Source organism: Homo sapiens, chromosome 12, assembly GCF_000001405.40.
Source record: "Homo sapiens chromosome 12, GRCh38.p14 Primary Assembly".
NCBI lineage: Eukaryota > Metazoa > Chordata > Mammalia > Primates > Hominidae > Homo > Homo sapiens.
This window is the reverse complement of record NC_000012.12, coordinates 29,641,333-29,667,727: the sequence shown is the minus strand read 5'-3', so window position 1 is coordinate 29,667,727 and position 26,395 is coordinate 29,641,333. Positions and strand designations below refer to the sequence as shown.

Genomic DNA, 26,395 nt, shown 5'->3' with positions numbered 1-26,395 from the left:
GCCTCCAACTAAATTAATCATAGAGGGAATAAAAATAAGGTCCTCTAAGTAAATTGATGAAGCTTAAACTCATTGACCTTTGACACTGAAACATCATGACCTTTTTGCAGGCCAAGTAACATTTCTGGGCATCATTTTTTTCCCTCATTATAAAACTACATGAGCTGTTTTGATTCCTTTCACCTCTAACTTTAATTTGCAGAATGGTTAAGAGAACTGAAATTATTTTCTCCTATGGCTTCTTTGTCGTCATTTTCACCGTTTAATATATGATAATTGAAGTAACTGTTTCCTTGGAAGTAACTTGAATTCAGAGTTTAAAATTTCTGGAAGGAAAATTTATCATAGCCTTAGAATGGGGTATTGAAGGTCAGTCTGAGTTTCTGAGTAGATAGAACTGAAATATGCATCATTGTTTTCTTAGAATAGTGAGCTCCTTTCCTTCAGAATCTTTATTTGAATATCAAAGGAGACATCAAAGGTTGTTCGACTCCTCCATGGAATGCCTTTGCCTATTAAGGTTTAGACGAGGCACTTCATGGGTTCAAGGAAAGTACATTAAAGAGAGAACCCATAAACACTTAAGTTTCCTTTATTGTTAAGTGTCAAAAGACACTTAAAATTCTTTTGTTGTTTTTGTTAAGCTTTTGCTTTTTTTCTGATGTGAGCTGTGTCTTTGCTATATTCTGATCAACTGAGAAATCTTTTTTCTTGAGTTTCAAAGAGAAGCAGTAAATCTGCATTTCTGTTGAAAAAGCTCTGATTCCAAAACATTTTTTTGATCTGAATATGTGACTCTTTACTAATTTCCTTTTTGCGTTGAAAGAGCAAAGGAAGTTAAGTCAATTAAGATTGATGTTCTAGAAGAAATTTCATATATCACTGTTTATGATTTGTTGCTATAATGTTAAACAGTTACAATTCATTGTATCTGAGATGTTTGCTACCTGGAGCTGACATTTAGGCAAAAATTATCAGGTGTTTATAGATTCTGAGAACAGCTGGAAAGACTAATTTCATATCTTCATTGAAATCATTAGTATTCCGGGTAAGGGAAATGGCACTATTACCATTTCCAGTGGAAAGTGGTTTTTCTCTTCCAACTTGCTGCCACATTCCAAACTGTGAGCACTTTTATTTTGTACCCTGATCTACCACGAGAGGGTAAGGAAAACACAGAAAAAGAAAAGGGGTAGGCCGGGTGTGGTGGCTCACACCTGTAATCCCAGCACTTTGGGAGGCAGAGGCGGGTGGATCACGAGGTCAGGAGATCGAGACCATCCTGGCTAACACAGTGAAACCCCGTCTCTACTAAAAATACAACAACAACAACAAAAAAAAAATTAGCCAGGCATGGTGGTAGTCCCAGCTACTCAGGAGGCTGAGGCAGGAAAATGGCATGAACCCAGGAAGCGGAGCTTGCAGTGAGCCGAGATTGTGCCACTGCACTCCAGCCTGGGTGACAGAGCGAGACTCCGTCTCCAAAAAAAAAAAAAAAAGAAAAAAGAAAAAAAGAAAGAAAAGAAAAGGGGTAGATGTTTACAATTTGATTTGGCTCAGTAAGCATTTATTGATCATCTTGCTATATGTGTTAAAAATATTCAAATAACACTTGTTAAAGCACTGTAAGGAAAACCTTAAGGTGAGGATGGGTCTGTTGCAATTGATACGGAGACCACTGTGATGGAATTTTGCAGTAGTGGAGAGAGTTGGGGCTTAACTCTGAATATAGCATGGACAAGTGGGAATTTATAGCCAGTGAGCAGGGTGTGGTGGGTTGGGGGGGCATCAGTGGATGGAAAATTACTAAGAGAAAACATCATGAATAAGGGAGAATTCTGGCTAAATAGACCTAACAGGATTATTCCTAAAGATAGGCCAGGGTGATGAGACATCTCCTGGGAGACGGTGGAGGATGAAAAACTTGATTAGATATTGACAGTGATCAGCTCTGATGGTGGGGGTTTCTGGCTAAACTGATTTAGCGGGATTCTCGCTAAGACTGGATTTTACAAGAAAGTACACAGATGGGCCTAGGAGAAGGTTCAGGAACCTGACTAGGTTTTGGTCAAACAAAGAAACTTTGTCATATGATCAATTATTTATTGACGTGATAATTCTGTGTTAACAAAGGTCATTGATTTATAATAAGCATTTATTTAGTTCTCAAGATTATGGGTGGGTAGATGATTATGGTTGGCTGGTTGTTCTGATCTCTGCTAATATCTCTCAATAGGATTTGAGGACCAAGTAACTATGGATGGTAAACTTGACCTTTATTTGAACATGATATACTGGGATGGTGGATGTGAGTAGTCAGAAAATTTGGGTATGTGGGAGCGTAGATTAGGGAATTTACTATGGCTAACCTTAGTCTTTTGCTTTTATTTGGCAAGAATCAGAAGTTGTTACAAATACTGTTTTACAATGCCAATAACCTTGATGCCAATACCCTCGATTAATGTTCAACTGTTTTTTCATATGCAACTTCAAATTTTGAAGGGCCTCCTCCAGGTGAAGGGTCAACTAATATTTGACTTTTCACGAATCCCTTGACATTCCTTTCTCTTTTTTTTTGAAATTGGGTAGTTTCTTCGTTTTTCCTTCGTCAGTTTTGGTGTCATCAGTTGGTGAGAACATCCAAGGATCACAATATTTTAGACCTAAAACTGACCCTGAGACCATTTGGTCTAACATTCATTAATAAAGGAAGGAAGTAAAGCTCAGGTAGATTTATTTTACATCATGTGACAAGTTAGATGGGATCAGAGGAATAGAACCCTGGACCCTTAGTTCTCATTCTGTTGGTTTCATCAGTGGTCTGGTTTTGTTGTTGACATGTTCTCTGGCTTTGCAAGGAAAAGAATGGAGAACTTGACTGGAATTAGAAAAAAATAGTAATAGCATTTACATAGTAAATTGTATTTGAAGACAATTTTAGGTACTTTATCTTATAGTTGCAATGAATAGCTGAGAGAATCTGATGTCATAGTTAAGTATTATTTCCAGTTTTATGTTCTCCTCCTTTAGAAGAAAGAAATTATAATGTTCTTCCTCATGGAATTGTTGTAAGTGGTGAATAAGTTACTACACTCAAATCACTTAGATTAGTGTCTGGGACATATTAGTTGTTGCTATTTTTATTATTGCTGTTAATAGTATTGTTATTGAGTGTTGTTATTTGGTTCTACTTCACAGATCGTGTGTATTGGACTGATGGGGAAAGTTTGTTTATTTTTGGTGTGGGTAGGGGAAGAGGAAAAGATGCAGAGAATTTAGCCCTTAGAGTGCTCCTGTCTGAGCTTAGGGATCTCAGCCTCTGACCTAGTGTTTACCAAAAAAGAGGGCCATGTTATTTTGGGTTACTTTCTCATTTACTATTGGTCAACAACTAGAAATAGAAATCTTGAAGAGGTCATCTTTTTTTTTCGTCCACTGCTCTCTTTACCAATTTAGGCTTTCATTACATTGGGATGCTACATTTTATTTTATTTTATTTTTTTTATTTTTTTATTTTTTTATTTTTTATTTTTATTTTTTTGAGACGGAGTCTCGCTCTGTCGCCCAGGCTGGAGTGCAGTGGCGGGATCTCGGCTCACTGCAAGCTCCGCCTCCCGGGTTCACGCCATTCTCCTTCCTCAGCCTCCCAAGTAGCTGGGACTACAGGCGCCCGCCACTACGCCCGGCTAATTTTTTGTATTTTTAGTAGAGACGGGGTTTCACCGTTTTAGCCGGGATGGTCTCGATCTCCTGACCTCGTGATCCGCCGCTACATTTTAACAATAAATTATTTGGTGCCTTTAGCTTCTTGAGAAATGGACTTTCTCAGGAAACCAGGGGACACTTTACAAATATGACTCAGTGAAATAGCCATCATAGCAAGCTTTCAGAGAAACAAAATATGGAGAATTGGCTGGGTGTGGTGGCTCACGCCTGTAATCCCAGCACTTTGAGAGGCCGAGGTGGGTGGATCACCTGAGGTCAGGAGTTTGAGACCAGCCTGGCCAACATGGCGAAACCCTGTCTCTACTAAAAGTACAAATATTAGCCAGGCATGGTGGCGGGCTCCTGTAATCCTAGCTACTCATGAGGATGAGGCAGGAGAATAGCTTGAACCCGGGAGGCAGAAGTTGCAGTGAGCTGAGATCACGCCACTACACTCTAGCCTGGGCGACAAGAGTAAGACTCTGTTTCAGAAAAAAGAAAAGGAAAATTTACCTAAAAATATCCTAAACTTTGTGGTTTGTTGTTCTATAGAAAGGAAAACCACTGCTAATTTTTCCACTATGTTAAAATAAACAGGCAACAGAGGGAACTTGAGGAAGGACGTTTCCAGAAGCAGATCACCCCAGAAAGTGCCTTTTTATTCAGATGTATTACTTCTCCAGCCCTCCCCAGCACCTTTTCCATTTCCACTGTGTCATTCTCTTTGCCTTTCTGCTGCCATTGATACATCCTGAAAAGGAACAGCAGAAATAACCAGAGTGGTCGTGGTTGAGTTGGCCTGAAAATAATAGTCACAATAGAGGCAGAGCTGAGAGAAGGACGCTGAGCAGGGCTTTACCTTTTAGGCAACGAAGAACCCAGTTGACACTAAAGATCGAAGTCAAGGACTTTGCCTCAGAAAAATACACACAAAATCTTGTGTAAATTTCAGGAAGCAGCGGACCCCCTAAAGCCCATTTTGGGACAGTAGCTATCCCCGTGGGTTGTGAGAGCTGACAGTATCCCTGGTGTTCTTTCTTGTCAAGCTCTCTGTTGGCAGCTAAGGAAGATGAAAGGGATTTAAATGCAGTGCTTGAGGATGGATCCAGTCCAGAGCTTGCTAAAAGCCAACTCTCTTTTGTGTTTTTTGGACTCCTCGTTTTCTCCACTCATTAAATACTTGAACGGCCAGATCTGAGCATGTATCACTTCCACAGCTCTTTATGGACCAGGCAGAGGAAAAGAGAGGTGAGAAGGAAGCGTGAGGCTCTCACCTCCTCACAGTACCATTTGTTACAAAGCAGAGGAGCCACATGTGTTTTGTAAGCAATCCTCTTTTTTTTTTTTTTTTTTTTTGAGACGGAGTCTCGCTCTGTCACCCAAGCTGGACTGTCACCCAAGCTGGAGTGTAGTGGCACGATCTCGGCTCACTGCAACCTCCGCCTCCCGGGTTCAAATGATTCTTCTGTCTCAGCCTTCCGAGTAGCTGGGACTACAGGTGTCTGCCACCACGCCTGGCTAATTTTTGTATTTTTAATAGAGATGGGGTTTCACCATATTGACCAGGCTGGTCTCGAACTCCTGACCTCGTGATCCGCCTGCCTCCGCCTCCCAAAGTGCTGGGATTACAGGCGTGAGCCACCTCACCTGGCCATTGTAAGCAATCCTCAAGGTGGATAGACATTTCTTTGTGAGATATTAACCCACTCTGGTTTTTACAAAAGGATTTCTTACCTTATAGAACATTACCTTTGTGTAAAGAGACCTCATGCAGATTTTAATGCAAATTTTGTTGGGGAAAACCCCTTTGAGGAAAAATTGGATTTAAAAAGGAGAAAAAAACAATGAAAAGGGATAGAGGAAATAAGGATGAGGTGGGAAGTGCTTGCGGTTTATGCTATTTGATTTGACTTTTGTTTTCCCCCTCCATTCTGTATTTTCCGTGTAGAATTTTGCATGTAGGTGAAAATGACTTATGACTTATTTTATGTTTTCATTTGGGGCTTCTTAATACCGTCTCTTGATTCCCTTTCATCATCTTTTTCTAAAACCAGCCAACCACTTGTCTTATATGTAGATATCCAGAACTCCCAATTCCTATAAGTGAGTAAGCTACAGCAGGGCAGGATCCACACAGGTTCCTGCCCCTCTAGAAGCTGACGTTCTTGTAACCTAGTTTGGTTCCAAGAACCACAGGGAGGTGAGAAAATTATTCACTGGATACCAGTGAGCTCTAATCCTAACACAGATACTCATAACTTTGTTGCCTTAAAAAAATTATTTAACTGAGTGGGTGCAGTGGCTCACGCCTGTAATCTCAGCACTTTGGGAGGCTGAGGTGGGTGGATCACCTGAGGTCAGGAGTTCAAGACCAGCCTGGCCAACATGGCAAAACGCCATCTGTACTAAAAATACAAAAATACTAAAAATACAAAAATACTAAAAATACAAAAAGTACCTGTAGTCCCAACTACTCGGGAGGCTGAGGCATGAGAATCGCTTGAACCTGGGAGGTGGAGGTTGCAGTGAGCTGAGATCGCACCACTGCACTCCAGCCTGGGCGACGAGCAAAACTCCGTCTCAAAAAAAAAAAAAAAAAAAAATTACTTAACCTCCTACAACCTTGGCATCTTCTATTTTTAGAGGTAAGAGATCTGTGAGGTATTTTGTGGATGGAAGACATTGGAGCCTTCAAATTATATTAAGTAGGTAAATAAACTCTTATTTTGTTTAAGATTATCCCTGTGACCAGTGTAACTGTATTGTTTTCAAAATGACTGGGTTATTTGGGATTCGATGGGATAGTAATATTTATAGCTAACAGAGCTGAGTCCTGTTCTAGATATTATCTCATTTGTTCCTCCCAACTTTCCTGTGAGGTAGATACTATTATTGTCTCCCTTTTATAAGTGAGTAAAATAGATGTGCAAAGAGGTTCGGAAACTTGCCCGAGGTCTCCTGGGCTCTCAGCAGCAGCAGAACTGGGAACGGAAACCCAGGTGTTCTGGCTCCAGAGGCCCTGCTCTCAGCATTGTTCTCTGCAGCCTTCTTCAGAGCTGCAGCGTCTTCACCTTGAAAGGAGAACATTGTGTCTGGTAGACACACTTATCTAAGATTTTTTTTCTTTCCCGTTTTAGGTATCTGAGAGCAAGCAGCAATAGAAATTTCCTGCTTACCATGAGACCATTTTTAAAAAGGGCCATTTTGGTCCTAAGTTATGTAAGTATATATATATATATATATATACTTTTGAAATATCTGATAAGGAATGTTTCCACTCTATCTCAGCTCAGACATGTAATTCAAATTATTTAATAGAATCAGCAATAGACTCTAACATCATGACATTGGGATCAAACAGTTGGCATGCCGTAATGTTACAAAGCGTCCAAAGGTATATATGAAAGCATTCCAGGGATATGTGGATTTAATGATGTGGACAATGTGAACTGCAGTATTCTATGAGTCCCTTTCAAGATGCTGAGGCTGAGTTGTCTCAAGAGGAGGCAGTGCAATCCTGGCTGTATCAGTTGTCTATTGCTGCATAACAAACCACCCCCAGCTTTAGTGGCTTAAATATAACAACCCTGTATTTGCCCTACCTGCTTTAGTTTGGGCAGCATTCAGCTTTTCGGTTCTTCTGATCATCATGATTTGGGGCTGAGGTTACTCAATGAAGTTTATTCAGCTATCGTCTGAGCCAGTTCATCTCAGTTCTCCTCTACGTGATATCTCATCCCCGAGGGCCTCTCCCTGTTAGTTCTTTTTCCAGAGGGGTAGTCAAGACTTCCTTGCCACATGGCAGCTGGTTTCTAAAAGAATGAACTAAAAGTTGCTGCACCTCCCAAAGATTAGGTCCAGAACAGAGGTAAGGTACCTTCTGCATGTTCTGTTGGTCAGTACAAGCCAGCCACAAGACTAACTCAGATTTAAGGGAAGGGGTGACTGACTTCATTCCCTGTTAGAGGAACAGAATGCACCTGCAAAAAGGGTGGAGATTATTGGTGGCAATCTCACTGAATCTTCTTATTTTCTGAAGGTGCTTGTCATTTTGTACTTCCGTCTGTGGATAATGGGAGGATCTATGCCCCTCTTTTCAGAGCAGGATAATCCAGCTTCATTTTCGCCTTACATTCTTACGAGGTTAGTATAAATAATTTTTTTAAAACTTGGTATTTATTAGATAATTTTGAGTAATCTTAAATTACAGGCTGACTTTGCATATTGAGGATTGGGGTCTATCCTCCATGTGGGGAGAAAAGAAACTATACATTTGAAATTGTTTCCAATAAATAAAGCTGTTTTGGCAGTATTATTGCTATTGTTTCATTTGGTGTATATTTGTTTATTCAACAAATATTTAACTGGATACTGTCTTAGTTCATTTTCTGTTGCTATAAAAAAACTACTGGAGACTAGGTAATTTATAAAGAAAAGCGTTTATTTGGCCTACTATTCTGATGGCTGGAAAGTTAAGATTAGACATCTGGTGAGGGCTCAGGCTGCTTCCATTCATGGCCGAAGATGATGGTGAGCTGACTGTGTGCAGTGATCACATAGAGAGAGAGGAAGCAAGAGAGAGAGCGGAGGTGCCAGGTTCCTTTTTAGCAAATGGCTGTTGTGGGAACCAATAGAGCAAGAACTTACCTCCAAGGAAGGGCATTAATCTACTCATAAGGGTTCTGCCCTCCTCACCCAAACACCTCCCACTAGGCCTCCACACTACCACACTGGAGATTACATTTCGATATGAGATTTTGTGGGGACAAACAAACCATATCCAAACCATAGCAGGCACTTGTCAATAATAACTATCTATTGATTGATACATATGGTGAATGTTACAGAACAGTGTGCAGAGAATTGTGCAGAGGTTGACTGGATATCATAACCATTTGTAAGATAAAATAAGTGGGGTGGTTGGAAGTGACAAATAGAAATGAACAACAGTTTTTGCTAAGATACAGTTAATTATGCCATTTGTCCTTAAGAGTTCTGAGGGATTTGGGTCAAGAAGTAATGCTGATCAGTGGATCTGATTCACTGAATAGGATTTTAAGTCCTTAACTATTTTATTTGCTGTGATGTATAGCTGAGGCTTTCAGATGTAATTATATTTGACAGTTTTAATACCTTCCTTCAGAATATGTTGTTGCTATAATGTTTTAAGAATTGGGATGCCTTTCTTTTGGCTGGAACCACCATCTTCTAATAATTTGCTATGATGAGGAACACAAAGAAAAAGAGGAGAGGCACCCCATAGATGTTCTCTAAGACTTTTAGAAAACATGGAGTTGTTCCTTTGGCCACATACATGCAGATCTATAAGAAAGGTGATATTGTTGACATCAAGGGAATGGTTCCTGTTCGAAAAGGAAGGCCCCACAAATGTTTCCGTGGCAAAACTGGAGGAGTCTACAGTGTTACCCAGCTGCTGTTGGTGTTGTTATAAACAAACAAGTTCAGGGCAAGATTCTTGCTAAGCGATTTAATGTGCGTATTAAGCACTCTAAGAGCGGAGATAGCTTCCTGAAATGCATGAAAGAAAATGATCAGGAGAAGAAGGAAGGCAGAGAAGCACACTCTGTGAACGAGTGGAATGGAGTCTGGCCTACTGGAACCTATCCCCTATGAATTTGTGTCATAATAGATGTCAAAAAATAAATAAAAGACCTGTGGACTGTAAAAAATTAAAAATATAAAAAATTAAGATGCACTCTTCTAAAATGTTCATAGTTTTACATACCTTTAATGTTATCTAATATCATTTTAATGATAGCAACCTTCACTTTTTTTTTGTATTTGCAGAGACGTGATAAATTTTAAATCTTGATCTATGGGGCATTTATATTTTAGTTTATTCATATCTCTTAGGGACAACAGATTGTTAGATTTCGTTTTTTGTTTTTTGTTTTTGTTTTTGTTTTTTTGACATGGAGTCTCACTCTGTCTCCCAGTGTGGAGTGCAGTGGCGTGATCTCGGCTCACTGCAACCTCCGCCTCCCTGGTTCAAGTGATTCTCTTACCTCAGCCTCCCAAGCAGCTGGGACTACAGGCACATGCTAATTTTTTTATTTTTAGCAGAGAGGGGTTTTTGTCATGTTGGCCAGGCTGGCCTCAAACTTCTGACCTCAGGTGACCCACCTGCCTCAGCCTCTCCAAGTGCTGGGATTACAGGTGTGAACCACCGTGCCCAGCCTAGATTTTGTTTTTATGTCTGCCAGTGATCTTTGCTTTATATCATTAATTAACTTCTATGTTGGAATTAATAAATTTCTACTACTTTCTTTGCCTTGTATGCTTTTTAAGTTATTTCTAGTATTTTCTTCTCTTTCTTTGTCTTTATTTCCCATTTAAAAAGGATATATTCCAATTCGATTATCACATTTTTATAATAAAAACTATGTCATGTTTGTCTTCATTACTTCCAACGTGTTTGTATCAAACAAATCTTGAATATGCTCTCAGAAATAATGTGATATCCAACTTCTGGTGTTGGCTTACTTCTTCTCAGCAGTGTAGAACCTGTATAAATTGTTGTTTATATCTTATGTTTTAAAAATTCTTGTTTCATATATCCTTTAATTAAGCTTGACTTCTCTAACCCAGCTTTGTATTAATGTTGCAATCTACTCACCATTTTTAGGTATCTCTCCCTGGCCTTCAAAATCTCCAGGGCTGCTCATCCAGATATTTTTAGCTGTGCCAGCTCACTAATATATTTTCTTGTGTTCTGTAGCTCCTTAAATAACTACCTTTGTCTTTAAGAGAAAAACCAACTTTGCCATATATTCTTGGATAATGGCTCCATTTCCTTTAGCTTTGGGTTGATTTCATTCCAAGACTTCTTGTCTCCTGAATTTGAGCGTTCATTCTTATCTTTGTAGTTAGACATAGCATGTTCCCTGAGCTTACCAGTCTCCAAACACTAAGATGTACGGTTAAAAAGGACAGATGGGGGAGAACAAGAACATACTGCTGTCAACTCACCAACCAATTATTTTATTCCTATCTCATGTCATAAGTAAACAAGTGCTTGTCCCAAGGTCCTTGGTGTTAGGAAAAGGTGTCGCTGATATCTGACTCACAGCTGTCCTAGCTGTAACATCTTAGGGGCCAAGGGCATTAAGTGGTAGGGTTTTCTTATCCCTGCTGGTAGGAAAAAAAACTTCTTTGGTGGAACCTGTGGCAAAATTAGTACCTTGAGCCAACCATTTGCTAGATTCTGCCTTTCACTTCCAAGGCATATATATATACTTTTCAAAGGGATCTGCTAAATATTTTGTCCAGGACTTTCTGTCTGTGAATCAGTCCATCCAAGCGACTGTAACTCAGGCAGTTCAATTAATAAAAAGTGATGGAATAGAATATCCTAATATCCATATCTTTATATTCTTCCTTTCCTTTCTTTTGAGAAACATCTTTCTGTTCTTGTGTTTCAAATATAAAATATCAGCCTGGCCAACATGGTGAAAACCCATCTCTACCAAAAATACAAAAATTAACCAGGCATGGTGGCAGGCGCCTGTAATCCCAGCTACTTGGGAGGCTGAAGCAGGAGAATCGCTTGAACTGGGGAGGCAGAGGTTGCAGTGAGCCGAGATTGCACCACTCCAGCCTGGGTGACAGAGCGAGACTCTGTCTTTAAAAAAAAAAAAAAAAAAAGTATATGTGTATGTGTGTATATATATATATATATATATCCAGGGAAATTTCACTGACATTTGTTATGAATAGCTTTTCTCATTCCTCTGAGGTGGCCACATTAGAATTGACTCTTTTGAGCACCTAGAAAATGGTCTCTAATTCCTTTCCCGAGTAAAGTTCCTACTCAGTTTGCATATTTCTTTGTCCTGTCGTAGGCTGGTGATTCTTAAAGTGGACTGTCTTGGTCTGTTTCCTAGTTCTGTTGGCTTTTCTTTCCTTCTTAGCAGCTGTGCAGTTTAGCTGCGACTTGGCTGGCTCTGCAGTCTGTTGTGAGTAACCAGGGGCTTGCCAGGTGGTTATGGCCGTCTGGCTCCTTGATGCTTCTTCTCTTTTACTGAATTTAGGAACTTTGCGCATCTTTCAGTTGCATTTTTGCTACTGTCTTGCAAGTATTGTTTCTTATTTTAAAGTAGGTATAATAAGTTATTATCGGGTGAGAGTTTTCAGTTTAGCTTTTTTTTCCCCATTTAGTAGCTGTTATGGTTATTAATTACATGTAATTTTTAAAAATCCTAATAACTTTTAAGAGGAGCTTGGTCAAGCCTTCTTTGTTTCAAAGGACTTGACTTGTGAGATTCACTCGTTTACATTATCTATTTCTGTGTGTTTAACTCAGAGGGAATACCCTGTCATTTTCTGCTTACACTGAGCTTCAAATTCATTGTGGTATGCTTATGAAAAACCTTTGTTAAGCAAAATTTCTAAGACATGGGAACAAAACAAAAGATGATTATGTGACATTCACAGTAATGTAGAACATTATGTGACAAACTGAGAGGAATACAACATTGGTAGGCTTATTATTTGCTGCTTACTATATTTTACAACGTTGTCATCTTAGAATTTAATGTACAGAAACATGATAGTTGTGATGATTTCTTTCCTCTCTAGTGGAAAAAATAAAACTTAAAATATTAGTTTTATTGCCTTGCAGTACATTGGAAAAAAAATTGTTACTGATTTGCCAATCTCATTCCCATTCATTGTTTCCTGAAGACTACAAAAATCCCAATTTTTTAAATTCAGCTTGTATATGTGTATATAGTTATTTTATAATAGACCACCAGCCACTGGTCTACTTTCTGTGTCTGTAGATTTACCTATTCTGAACATGTATATAGAAATGGAATCATATGGCCAGGTGCGGTGGCTCACACCTGTAATCCCAGCACTTTGGGAGGCCGAGGCAGGCGGATCACGAGGTCAGGAGATGGAGACCATCCTGCCAACATGGTAAAACCCCATCTCTACTAAAAATACAAAAATTAGCTGGGTGTGGTGGCACGAGCCTGTAATCCAAGCTACTCAGGAGGCTGAGGCAGGAGAATCGCTTGAACCTGGGAGGTGGAGGTTGCAGTAAGCCGAGATCACGCCACTGCACTCTAGCCTGGTGACAGAGCAAGACTCCATTAAAAACAACAACAACAACAAAAAACAGAATCATATAATAGGTGGTATTCTGTGACTGGCTTCTTTCATTTAGCAGGTTATCAAGGTTCATCCATGTTGTAGCATATGTCAATACTTGATTCCTTTTTATTCCCCAGTAGCATTCCATTATATGGCTATACCATACATCTCATTTTTTTTTTTTTGATAAAAATGGACATTTGGGTTGTTTCCTCTTTTTGGCTATTACGAATAATGGTGCTATGAACATTCACATACAAGTTTTTGTGTAGATGTATGTTTTCATTTCTCTTGAGTATGTACCTAGGAGTGGAATTGCTGGATTATAAATGTTAACTTTATGTTTTACTTTTTGAGGAACTGCCAGAATATTTACCAAAGCAACTGCACCATTTTACATTCCTACCAGCAGTATGTGAGGATTCCACATTCTCTCTATTTTCACCAACATTTGTCTTTTTGACAGTGTGTTTTATTATAGCCATACCAATGGGTAGGGAATGGTATGTTATTGTGGTTTTGATGTACCTATATTTCCCTGGTGGCTAATGATGTTGAACATCTCCTTATGTATGTACTGACTCTTTTGCTGTCTTCTTTGGAACTACGTTGATGGAGATCCTTTGTTCACTTTTTAATTGGGTTGTTTGTCTTTTTATTTCCAAGTTGTAACATTTTTCTTAATATATTCTAGATACAAGTCCCTTATCTGACTTATGATTTATAAACACATTTTCTTTCTTTCTGTATATTGTCATTTCACTTACTTGATGATGTCCTTTGAAGCATGTAAGTTTTTTATTTTGATGAAGTCCAATTTATTTTTGTTGTTTCTAAGATACATATCTTCTATATCTAAGAAGGCTTTGCCTAACTCAAATTCTTTTCTGAACTCTCTTGGTCAAGTATCTTTTTCTCACATTTACGAGTTATACAAAACTTTAGTTTGTGCTGTGTATTTGTATGAAGATTATGTTTTTAATATTTAAAACATTGTGCTTTGATACAGTTGATGTTAACAGCAATTTGGAAGCCATTTAGAATTTGACCTTTTATTCTTGACCATTGGGTATATCAAGATGTAAGGTAGATTCCTTACAGAGTTGGATCATCATTATTCCAATGATGGAATTGGAGGTCATCATTATTCAGGATACACTGGTGAGAAGGCCCTTAATCTTTTAACTTTCCTTTTTAACCCAGACATTCAGATGTATTAGCTGTCAGTCAGTTCTTTGTGACTGACCAATAACTTTTCCAACCTGTAATTCATTGAGATTGTGTAGATCCATTTAGTGGCATGAAGTTGAATAGTAAATGCTTCTACTTTCCACTTGAGAAGAACAATATAATTAGAAACTAAAGAACAAAGGAGACATTGTATCTTTATCACACAACTTTCTTTTGATAAGCAAGTTCCCCAAGGCCCAATTGTCCATTTAGTTGTCCATGACACACAACCTGTCAGTCATGATTGCTGATGACTGCTTCCTTTCTTTCATTCCTCTCATCCAAGTAGTCCCCTCGTGCTGTGACTGCTCTTATTATTCGCCGGAATTCATGCAGCTATCTCCATCCCCACTGCCACCATCTTCCTGAAGGCCCTCACGGTTTCTGGCCTGTGTTCCTGAAATAGCTTCCTAATTTGTCTCTGTCCTCACAGTTTACTCTCCTCAGGTCCTCCATGTCATTTTCAAATGATATTTCTAGCTGGCTTGATATTTACAAGGTCAGTGGTTTCCTACACCCGTTAGGATCCACGAAGTGTAAGGGATCTGGCCATTGCCAGATATATAAGTATATATAAATAAAAAATATATATAATATATATTTTTATGAGACACAGTTCACAGTTTCACTCTGTCACCCAGACTGGAGTTCAGTGGCAAGATTTTGGCTCACTGCAACCTCTGTCTTCTGGGTTCAAGCAATTCTCCTGTCTCAGCCTCCTGAATAGCTGGGATTACAGGCGTATACCACCACACCCAGCTAATTTTTGTATTTTTAGTAGAAACGGGGTTTCACCATGTTGGTCAGGCTGGTGTTGAACTCCTGACCTCAGGTGATCCACCCTTCTAGGCTTCCCAAAATGCTGGAATTTCAGGCGTGAGCCACTGTGCCCAGCGAAGATATTTATTCCATCTCATTACACTTTATTGTTATAGACTATTCCCCAATTTTTCCTTCCCATTTAAATGTGAATTTCTCAAGGGCAGAAACCATATCTTATCTTTCTTTGTATCTTTGGCAGGTTTTACAGTGCTGAGCACAGGACAGAGCCATGATAATTGTTTACTGTTTGATGGATGAATGCATGATTGACTCTGCTGTCATAGGCCTGCTGCTTCTATGAACATTACACTACCTTTGCCTTTTTGTTTCTGAAGGCCACTTTGCACTACCACCTCTGGATATATCCTTGTTTTGCTTTTTGTCGTTAAGACATTTTCAACTGCATGTGCTTTTATGCACCCTGGTATAGAGGCGGTAACTCTGCTCTGTCATGAGAATGACCCACACAGTGCAGTGATAGGCTTGAAATGCATGCAGTTATGGAACCCCAATATCATCTTGGGTCTTCCTCTTTGAGATTTAAAGAAAACTGGCTTAAATTCTTTCCCACGTTCTTGAGTGTTCATTGCCCTCCTCAGGATTTATATGCTTCCCTAGAACCTTACATTCTCATGGGACATCTCCCATTGCATTTTCCCTTTCCTGCTAAACTCTACATCTGGTCCCTGTTACACTGCCCATGGCCACTCTTCTTTCCTTTTTTTGTGCCAACCAAGTTACCAGAGGGCATAGACCTTTCACATTCATATCCCCTATAGTACCACTCATAAAAGGCATTTGTGTACAAGGGACTTTACAGAAATCTGGAGACAAAAAGCAGAGTTACATCACAGAACCATGCCACAGGTAACTTACATTAATCATCTTGCACAAAATCTTCCAGCATCTCTTCCACTGGGGAATTCTCAATGGCTAATTTTTTTTTTTTTTGGGCAAGTTTTTTGCTTCAGTTATTTGCTTAGCCCTACCTCTCTCCTTTTTTGTTCTTCATTTTCTGTTCCTCCTTTGTCCAAATTCCTAATAATTTCTTACATAGCCCTAGACTATATAGGCCACCCAAGACTAAATTATCTCTAAAATCTCACACACCTATGCCTCACCTAGGTGAGATGAGGGTATGCTAAGGTAATAGCAAGCTCTGAAATTAAAATGACTGAACATGAAAAGGTTTAATTTTTTGTTCACAGGAGGAGGGCTGTGGGCCCAGTAACTTTCTAGGGATGCTGCCTTCCAGCTGGTGACTCTGTGTTCTGAGCTGCTTGCATTTTATAGTCCTGCCATCTGGAATGGCTAAGTCAGTGTAGCAGAGGGAGAGAAAGTTAGTGGGGCCCTAACTTCTTATATTGAAACTTACAAATACATATTACAAAAGCGGAGAGAACAGTATAATGAACTCCATGTTTGTCCCTATCACTCAGTTTCAGCATTTATCAACTATGCTTAATCTTATTCCATCAATAGCCCCACCCACTAATAGTCCCTCTTGTTTTCCCTGACCCACCACCAACTGTTTGGAAACTAGTCCCAACTATAGTGCCAGTTCAGTCATCATTATTTCAGCATACTATATCTCTAAATGATATGGCTGTCTTTTAAAATATACAGCCACAGTATTCTCATGGTAGCTACAAAAAAATTTCCAACCATTCTTTAATATCATGAAGTATTCATTCCACTACGCAGCTTATAAGTGTTTCAGCCTCAAGGGACCCACATCACCTCTGCTCAGACCTGGAGGCCAGAAGTAGTCATGTGCCCCCTCCAAATGCAAAGGGGCTGGAAAGCGTAGCCCCCCGTGTGCCTCAGAAGAAAATCAAACACACTGGATGAATACATAGTTTTGTGTCTGATACAGCCTACAGTGGTGTTTTCTTTTGAAACAACAACAAGAAATGTTGAAGAAGATCGTTTTCTTTCTGAGGGAAATTCCAGGTCTAGCTTTTTAGATAATATCTTTTTCTCCCCCTCTATTCACATATCAACAAGAGTCCTCAAGCCTGTTTCATGAACCACCAGAACTGAACGCCTCGGAATCCTGGGCCCTTGCAGATCTCCATCCATTCCATTTACCTACAACATCGGTTAGTAGGTCTACGTCCCACCTGTTTGTGAAAGCTCAGATCATGCTGCTTCTTTAGAAAGGTTTCCCTGCTAGAAAACTTACACTGACTGCTTTCTGCTTCTAGTCTGTACACTTAGTTATTTATACCGTCATGTGAATTCCTGAATAAGACCATTGTTTCTTAACATTTCACCATGATCTGGTCACTGAAAGGATGAATGCTTTGACTTTGCCACTGAGAGAGGGAACCTGTTGATTTTGCAGTGTGAGAACCCCTGGAGAGGGTAGGTCTAGGGTAGGTGGCTGGGATGACCTGAGGCCCGGGTGTCTCACCTCAGGAAGAGAGGTGACAGTTCACAGAAGTCAAAATCAGAAAGTTAGGTAGGGGCTGGGCAAGGTGGCTCACACCTGTAATCCCGGCACTTTGGGAGGCTTAGGCGGGCAGATCACTTGAGGTCAGGAGTTTGAGACCAGCCTGGCTAACATGGTGAAACCCCATCTCTACTAAAAATACAAACATTAGCCAGGCATCATGGTGCACGTCTATAATCCCAGCTACTCGGGAGGCTGAGGCAGGAGAATGGCTTGAACCTTGGGAGGCAGAGGTTGCAGTGAGCTGAGATCGTGCCACTGCACTTCAGCCTGGGCAACAGACCGAGACTCCTCAAAGAAAAAAAAAAAAAGAAAAGAAAAGAAAAAAAGAGAAAGTTAAGTAAGAAGATGCTCTAAATGCAGATTGAGGTACTGAATAGTTTTGTTTATAGCCCTATGGATAACAACTACCTGATGGCCCTTAAAATTATCTTATGATCTTACTAGGCTTTGGCTCAGAGCCTGATACAAAAATAAATCCTTAGAACATTGTTGAATAAATAACTGGTGACCTTGGTTATAGTTAGCATCCTTAGAAAACGTTAAGCCTTGTCAAGCCACCCTTCTGAGAAGGTTGTAACACACCTGATATTCCACTCTGGGCACCAGAAAGTTGACTGTAATTATTAATTGCACACTGTCCCACCTCATTCCCCATGCCTTGTCCAATTTTCTGTCTTCAAAACCATCTGCAAGGGTCTGTCTACTTGTAACTTTATAAAAACAGCAAAATGTTTCCTTGGGAATGATGGAATTTATACTGTGAAATATCTGGTTAACTTGCACAATTACATATATGACAAAATAAAAATACAACACAGTGTGATTCTGATATTAATTTCCATTTTCTTCTCTAGAAGGGTGGTGAGGGCGTAAGCCAGGGGTGACTACAGGAACCCTCTCTTCCTGGACCCACCTGTCCGCAGTCCTGTTTTGTCAGCTTGGCTCTCTTACTTACCTCCTCTCTCCTTTAGTTTCTCATAGCTTGAAATCTGAATGACTGTATTTATGTTAGTCACAAAGAATGCTCTATTATCTTCTTTGTAGTTGCTCTAAATTTAGATTTTATTAAATTGCTCATTTTTTAACAACTAAGAAAATTTTGCCCTCATAGATCTAAATCCCTCCATCTGTCCTATCCCACGTGGAATTTCTATAGGAACAAGAGTCAGAAGTTTTCACAAGAGGTAAAAGAGGGTGAGTAGACATAGAGGCCACACAGTAAAACTGATGGACAACAATAACAAGTCAGGATAGTAGTTGGGAATTTTGAGAGTGGAGGGGGGCTGCAGCCAAGGGGAGAGTGGTGGGGTTGGAGTGGGAATCTAGAATGAAAAAGATAAAACCAAGGACAAGTGAATGTGGGCAGAGGTGGAGGATGGATGGGCCTGAAGACAGGTGATTGTCCAGATCCTTGCAGTCCACCAGAGGAGCTGCGGGCCCCATATGGCTACTTAGCACATCAAATGCTAGTTCCAATGGCCATGTGCTGGAAGTGTAAAGGCACACCGCATTTAGAAGACTTAGTAAGAAAAAAATGTAAAAAATCCCATTCATAATTTTTACATTGATTATCTACTGAAATGATAATATTTTGGGTATATTCATTGAAACAAAATATATTTCCGAAACTAATTCATCATGTTTCATTTTATTCTTTTTAATGTAGCTAATAGAAAATTGAAAATTATATATGCTTTCATTCTCTTTCTATTGGATGGCACTGGACTAGAACAAGCACTGTGCTCCTGGCTTGACCCCACGCCAGAAGGAGCTAGAAGGATGAGTGGCTGGTGAGACATGAGTGGTGTGTGCCGTAGATGCAGCACTCTCTGCAGCCTCTGTCTGCCTCTGGTTTGAATGGCCTCTTCCAATCTGCTGTGTTGTGTTTTGCTCAGCTGATTCTGAGTGGTGGGAAGATTTTATTGCACTCTGACTTAGAATTGCGCCAATTTAGAATTTGATTCTCATCTGAAAAAAAGAAAAGAAAAGAAAAGAAAATATTCTTCAAGACCCAAGACCATAGGTGCTTATGATACTTCTTGTAAATTCCCACTCAAAGTTGTTCTGTGAGTAGAGCCATGGAGGGGCCTTAAGAATTTATCTCAGCTAGGTTGTCAAACCTGAATGTGCCTCAAAAACACTAGGGAATCATGTTAAAGTATGAGTTCTGAAGTCCAGATGCCCAGAGTTTCTGCTTCCATGTTTTTTATGGACTTGCATTTGAAAAGTGATGGAATAGATTTTATGTGTAACCTGTCCTGTCAGAAAAGTGTCATTTGCTTCCAGATTTGCTCTTCTGTTTCTGTAAGTATCTTCAGAAATGTGATCCTTTGACCTCCACTCTTGTAAATCTGGGATTAAGGATAAAAACAAAAGCCCAAGTATGGCTTCTGCATAGGACTGGAGCCTTAAATGTCATTTCCACGACCATAGCCATGCTCTGCTGCCTAGAAATTGGTTTTGTCTTACCAGTTTGAAGGGGATAGGACATAAAGCAGCCTACACTTGATGGAAGAAGTATTGCCTTTATCACATTCAAATTGGTTGTCTTTCAAATCCAGAAAGGAGATAACATAGGATTTTCAGTGAAAGGATATGAAGGCTCTCTCTTAGCATCATATTTTTTCATGAGATTTGGTCCTGGATAAACAACTAGAATAGATTTGCTTGAGTGGTAGGTCTGTTTCTGCTGTTAAGAAATACAGGCAAAGGCTTGTATTACTTTGTAGGAAAAGATCAAGATAGGAAATAGCAAGATGAAACTAGAACGCAACATCTTCCACGTTCTAAAGAAGCTTCTTTCTCATCTTTCCATTTCGGTTGATGGTTTTAAAGAGACACAAAACCTTAGATCTTCATTGTTACAGCCTAGGACTCTATGTTGCATCCGTTATAGCCCCTAACATGGGGCTATCTCATAATAACCTCCGAACATTGAATTAAAATGTTTCTTTTGTAAAATAATATATTGTGTGTTTAAAGAGAGCTGTGCAAAATGAACTGCTCTGTTCTTGACTGAGCAACTAACAAAGCCTTCGAAACATGTTTATAGGGGCTCTTAAAACATGTTTTTTGGGGCAGGGCATAGTGGCTCATGCCTGTAATCCTAGCACTTTGGGAGGCTGAAGCAGGTGGATTGCCTGAGGTCAGGAGTTTGAGACCAGCATGACCAATATGGTGAATCTCTGTCTCTACTAAAAATACAAAAATTAGCTAGGCCTGGTGATATGCACCTGTAGTCCCAGCTACTCGGGAGGCTGAGGCAGAATTGCTTGAACCCGGGAGGCAGATGTTGCAGTGAGCCGAGATTGCGCCACTGTACTCCAGCCTGGGTGACAGAGTGACATTCTGTCTCAAAAAGAAACATGTTTTTTCGAAACGAAGCTGAAGCTGTTCTGTATTTTAGAGGTGTGATTACCAGACCTGAGTGAATGTGAGAATCAATCAAGGAAACATGTTTAATATAAAGATTCTCTGATTCATCTGACAGAAATTCTGATTGGGTAAGTCACAAGATTGGATGACAGAATCTTTGTATCAAACAGCAGCCTAATGAATTGGGGAGCCACCTGTTTTGAGAACCCTGGGCAAAAACTGTGTCCCCGGTAGCTGAAGAGTTCTCTGCCGGGGATGCTGCCCCTGTTATGTCTTTGTATTATAATATATTCATAGAAAAATAGCTTTTTGGGGATGAAAGAGATTATCAAGGTCAATGAGCGTAGTTTTCCAAACCAGAACGAAACTACGTCGTCATAATTTATTTAATTTGTCACAAGAAAAGGGAGAGAAGAGGGAGTCACATGAGAGAGCTTGTGGCAGTAGCAATTTTACCTGGGGACTAGGGATGGGTTGCTGAAAAATGCAGATCTGGATCACTTACTGATATTTTATTTGTTGAAGAAAACTATCTCATCCTTTAAATCTACATATTGTATTTCCATTACAATCTTAAATCCCAGAGAAGCTGATGAAAGTTAAAGGAACACTTCTTTTATTTTCTGCTAACATTGAAACATAAAGGCCAATATTGCTTTTCACACTGAAAAAAATGCCAAGCCTGAGCTTTTATTTAAGGATTCTACTTCTTGATGCTCTAACAAACATTTTCAGCAGTGCAATCAGTTTGATGTGTCGTTAGAGGAGATTATATATGGATTTTTAGTTTATGTCAACCCTGCTAGGACTACATGAAAGCTCCAGTTCTTCTGGGCTGCACTGATGAAGGAGTGAGTCAGGGTCTCAGGCGGGTGCTTCTCCATGAGACACCAGCATTTCACCCACCTTATTTCCTTTCACCTCTCCACATTGATAAAGAAATGCTAATGGGAGACCATATGATGCCATGGACAAGTGTATTTGGAGCCAGAAAACTCTGTCATATGTGTGCAAACTCTGCTATATGCTTGCAGTGGGAATTGAATGAATTACAGCCTCTTTTAGGCAATTTTCTTTGATGCAAGAATGAGCGTAATGCCCACTTCATAGAGGATTTGCTGTCAAATAATCCGTATACACAAATGCTTTGTAAACTAGCGAATGTTCTACATGCTAGTAGTATTTTTAATATTGTATGCGGTTCATTAATAGACCAACAGGATTCTTGTATAGAGACCTGGAGACCTGAGCCTGATGCGTGGTCAGCAGTCAGTTCATGCCTCCTCAATGAATGTTGAACCTGTGCTCAATGAGAGAAAGTATATTGGTTTGAAATAAACATGTTAAATCCTTTATAGCGAGAAAGATACCTTAGGCAAAAAAATGAACCCAGTATTTATTTTGCAGAAACTGTATTTCCTTTTTTGCAGATATATGGGTAAGAAGTTGCTAACATTCTCAGACGTTGAACTCCATTTTCCCTGCTCTGATGAAGCTCTCTATTAATAAGATTACTATATTAATGGCACATGTAAAAGGTCAGAAAGACAATGACATTTCAGATTCACTTTATACTTTATCCATGGTAACAAAAATTCTCATTTTAACTATGTTCATTGTAGTTTAATGCAAAATAAGAAAAAATAAGCTGGCATAGCTTCAGGAGGATGTTTCTGAGTGAAGGGAATGCCTGTAGCACTGGGTGCTGAAGAGGGCTACAAAAAGGCAGAATCTTCCATCTTTGCCCCTCAACTATATGCCTGGACAACTGCAAGTCTAGCAGATATCTTTTATTGGGTTGTAGAAAAGTATATGGTTGCCCCAGGCCGAAATGAAAGTATAAATTCAAGTATTTCCAGATTCTAAGGCATTATTTTATTATCAGGCTGATTTCTTAAAACCCATAGAATCCATTTATTTTAAGACCTGAGTGCTAGGGAAATAATTATAGACAGACATAGTCACTGCTCCTGAGGAGCTTCTGTTTTAGTGAGGAGGATGGGCACATTCATGGACAGTTACAGGGCAGTGTGCCAAGCCCCAGTGCAATGGGACACCCACCTGGCCTGGGGAGGGATGATATGGAAGGCTTGTCACAATGAGTGGTGTCTGCTTTGGGACCTGAAGGATCCAGAGGAGTTGGAGTTCAAGGACCTGTGAGAGTTGATTCCAGAAGATGAGGTGAGCTAGTCAGGTGCTGCGGTCAGAAATGTAAAACTTGAGGGTGAGGCAAGTGGTGTGAAGATGATAGAAAAGGAGAGGCTGGGGACAGAACTGCTAACTACACTCAGCCTCCATTATGAACAAGCACAAGAAGCCCCTGAGCAGAGGGTGGAGGTGGAGCAAATGCTAAGAGAAGCAGGGCAGCCAGGAGGAAGGCATGTAGCCTTCATGGAAGGGTGCTGCCTTTCTTTCTTGCAGCTGCTTAGTTTTGTTTCCCTAAGAATCTTAGTTCTATTCTGAGTTTTCTGTCTTTGAATTATTCTGGGAATTTTGTTTTTTTAATTTTCCATAGGTTATTGGTGGTACAGGTGGTATTTGGTTATGTGAGCAAGTTCCTTAGTGGTGATTTGTGAGATTTTGGTGCACCCATTATCCAAGCAGTATACACTGCACCATATTTGTAGTCTTTTATCCCTCGCCCCTCTCACACTCTTCCCCCCAAGTCCCCAAAGTCTGTTGTGTCATTTTTATGCCTTTGTATCCTCACAGCTTAGCTCCCGCATATCGGTGAGAACATACGATGTTTGGTTTTCCATTCCCGAGTTACTTCACTTAGAATAATAGTCTCTAGTCCCATCCAGGTCACTGCAAATGCCATAAATTCATTCCTTTTTATGGCTGTTTAGTATTTCATTATATATATATATACACACACACACACACACACACACACACACACACACACATATATATTTATATATTTATATTTATATTTATATTTATCTATAAATTATATATTTATATTTATATATAAATTATATATTTATATTTATATATAAATTATATATTTATATTTATATATAAATTATATATTTATATATATTTATATGTAAGTATATATAAATATATATTTAAATTTATATATATTTATTTATATATATTTATATATAATTTTATATTTATTTATATATATTTAAATTTATATATAAAAATATATATAAATATATATAAATATATAAATATATATAAATATATAAATATATATAAATATATAAATATGTATATAAATATATATAAATATATAAATATATGTGTATTATAAATATTTATATATATTTATTATAATATATATTTATATATTATATATATAATATATAATATATATAATATATATAATATATAGATATATATTATATATTATATAATATAACATATATATTATATATATAATATATAGATATATATTATATATAATATATAATATATATTTATATATGACATATATTATATATTATAATATATAACATATATGTGATATATATTATATATTTTATATTATATTATATATAAAATATATAATATATAATATTTTTTATATTCCATCATATATATATTCCATCATATATATGTGATATATATATATATATCACAGTTTATCCACTCGTTGATTGATGGGTATTTGGGTTGGTTCACCATAGCATTGTGCTATTGTGAATTGTGCTGCTATAAACATGCATGTGCAAGTATCTTTTTCGAATAATAACTTCTTATGTTCTGGGTAGATACCCAGTGTGGGATTGCTGCATCAAATGGTAGATCTACTTTTAGTTCTTTAAGGAATCTCCACATTGTTTTCCATAGTGGCTGTACTAGTTTACATTCCTACCAGCAGTGTAGAAGTGTTCCCTGTTCACCACATCCATGCCAACATATACTGTTTTTGATTTTTTTGATTATGGCCATTCTCCCAGGAGTAAGGCGGTATCACATTGTGGTTTTGATTTGCATTTCCCCGATCATTAGTGATGTTGAGCATTTTTTCACGTTTGTTGGCCATTTGTATATCTTCTTTTGAGAATTATCTATTCATGTCCTTAACCCACTTTTTGATGGGTTTTTTTGTTTGTTTGTTTGTTTGGGAGTTTTTTTTTTTGAGATGGAGTCTCGCTCTGTCACCCAGGCTGGAGTGCAGTGGCGCGATCTCGGCTCACTGTAAGCTCCGCCTCCTGGGTTCACGCCATTCTCCTGCCTCAGCCTCCTGAATAGCTGGGACCACAGGCGCCCGCCACCACGCCCGGCTAATTTTTCATATTTTTAGTGGAGACGGGGTTTCACCATGTTAGCCAGAATGGTCTTGATCTCCTGACCTCATGATCCACCCACCTCGGCCTCCCAAAGTGCTGGGATTACAGGCGTGAGCCACTGCGCCTGGCCTATTTTTTATTTTTCTTACTGATTTGTTTGAGGATTTGTTTCAAGATTTAGAGCCGCTTTTAGCAGTTCTTGTAGTGATGGCTTGGTAATTGTGAATTCTCTCAGCATTTGTTTGTCTGAAAAAGACTTTTTTTTCTTCATATATGATACTTAGTTTTGCTGGATACAATATTCTTCACTGATAATTGTTTTGTTTGAGGAGGCTGAAGATAAGGCCCCAATCCCTTCTAGCTTGTAGGGTTTCTGCTGAGAAATCTGCTATTAATTTGATAGGTTTTTCCTTAAAGGTTACCTGGTGCTTCTGTGTCTCACAGCTCCTAAGATTCTTTTCTTCGCCTTAACTTTGGATAACCTGATGACAACGTGCCTAGGCAAAGATCTTTTTGTGATGAATTTCCCGGTGTTCTTTGTGCTTCTTGTGTTTGGATGTCTAGATCTCTAGCAAGGACAGGCAAGTTTTCCTCGATTATTCCCCCAAATATGTTTTCCAAGCTTTTAGAATCCTCTTCTTCCTCAGGAACACTGATTATTCTTAGGTTTGGTCATTTAACATAATCCTAGACTTCTTGGAGGCTTTGTTCATATTTTCTTATTCTTTTTTCTTTGTCTTTGTTGGATTGGATTAATTCGAAGACCTTGTCTTTGAGCTCTGAATTTCTTCTTCTACTTGTTCAATTATATTGCTGAGAACTTCCAAGGCATTTCACATTTCTAAACATGTATCCAAAGTTTCCTGAAGTTTTGATTGCTTTTTCTTAAGCTATTTCCTTGAATATTTCTCCCTTCACTTCTTGTATCATATTTTGGATTTCCTTGCATTGGGCTTTGCCTTTCTCTGGTCCCTCCCTGATTAGTTTAATAACTAACCTCCTGAATTCTTCTCCAGGTAAATCAGGGATTTCTTCTTGGTTTGGATCCATTGCTGGTGAACTAGTGTGATTTTTTTGGGGGGGTATTGAAGAGCCTTGTTTTGTCATATTATCAGGGTCGGTTTTCTGGTTCCTTCTCATTTGGGTAGGTGCTGTCAGAGGGAAGGTCTAGGGCTGAAGGCTGTTGTTCAGATTCTTTTGTCCCACGGTGTGTTCCCTTGATGAAGTACTCTCCCCCATTTCCTATGGATGTGGCTTCCTGTGAGCCAAACTGCAGTGATTATTGTCTCTCTTCTGGATCTAGCCACCCATTGAATCTACTGGGCTCTGGGCTAGTACCAGGGGTTGTCTACAGAGTCCTGTGATATGAACCGTCTATGGGTCTCTCAGCCATGGATACTAGTGTCTGTTCCAGTGGAGGTGGCTGGGGTGTGCAATGGAC

The 26,395-nt window shown here is 39.0% G+C and overlaps 1 protein-coding gene and 1 pseudogene across 10 annotated transcripts in view, besides 1 other annotated feature; both read left to right on the top strand.

Moving 5' to 3' along the window:
- The window catches only part of TMTC1 (transmembrane O-mannosyltransferase targeting cadherins 1), a 283,947-nt gene that overhangs the window by 117,032 nt on the left and 140,520 nt on the right, over window positions 1–26,395 (top strand). For 5 of the 10 annotated variants that reach the window (XM_047429634.1, XM_017020004.2, XM_017020003.2 and 2 more), the window contains 2 exons: window positions 6,843–6,924; window positions 7,745–7,848. The exons of 4 other annotated variants lie outside the window; for them this stretch is intronic. In XM_047429634.1, the coding sequence (XP_047285590.1) occupies window positions 6,843–6,924; window positions 7,745–7,848 (186 nt within the window). Of the gene's footprint in view, window positions 1–6,325; window positions 6,415–6,842; window positions 6,925–7,744; window positions 7,849–26,395 lie in introns of those variants that run through there. One more of the 10 variants, XM_017020007.3, reaches the window with a different exon arrangement.
- Window positions 4,516–5,017: an enhancer, noted in NCBI's record as "NANOG hESC enhancer chr12:29815644-29816145 (GRCh37/hg19 assembly coordinates)". NCBI's record gives its function as "activates a minimal SCP1, AML or CMV promoter by ChIP-STARR-seq in naive H9 embryonic stem cells {active_cell/tissue: H9 hESC(naive)}" and the evidence as "EXISTENCE:reporter gene assay evidence [ECO:0000049][PMID:30033119]".
- RPL21P99 (ribosomal protein L21 pseudogene 99) lies at window positions 8,888–9,387 on the top strand (annotated as a pseudogene).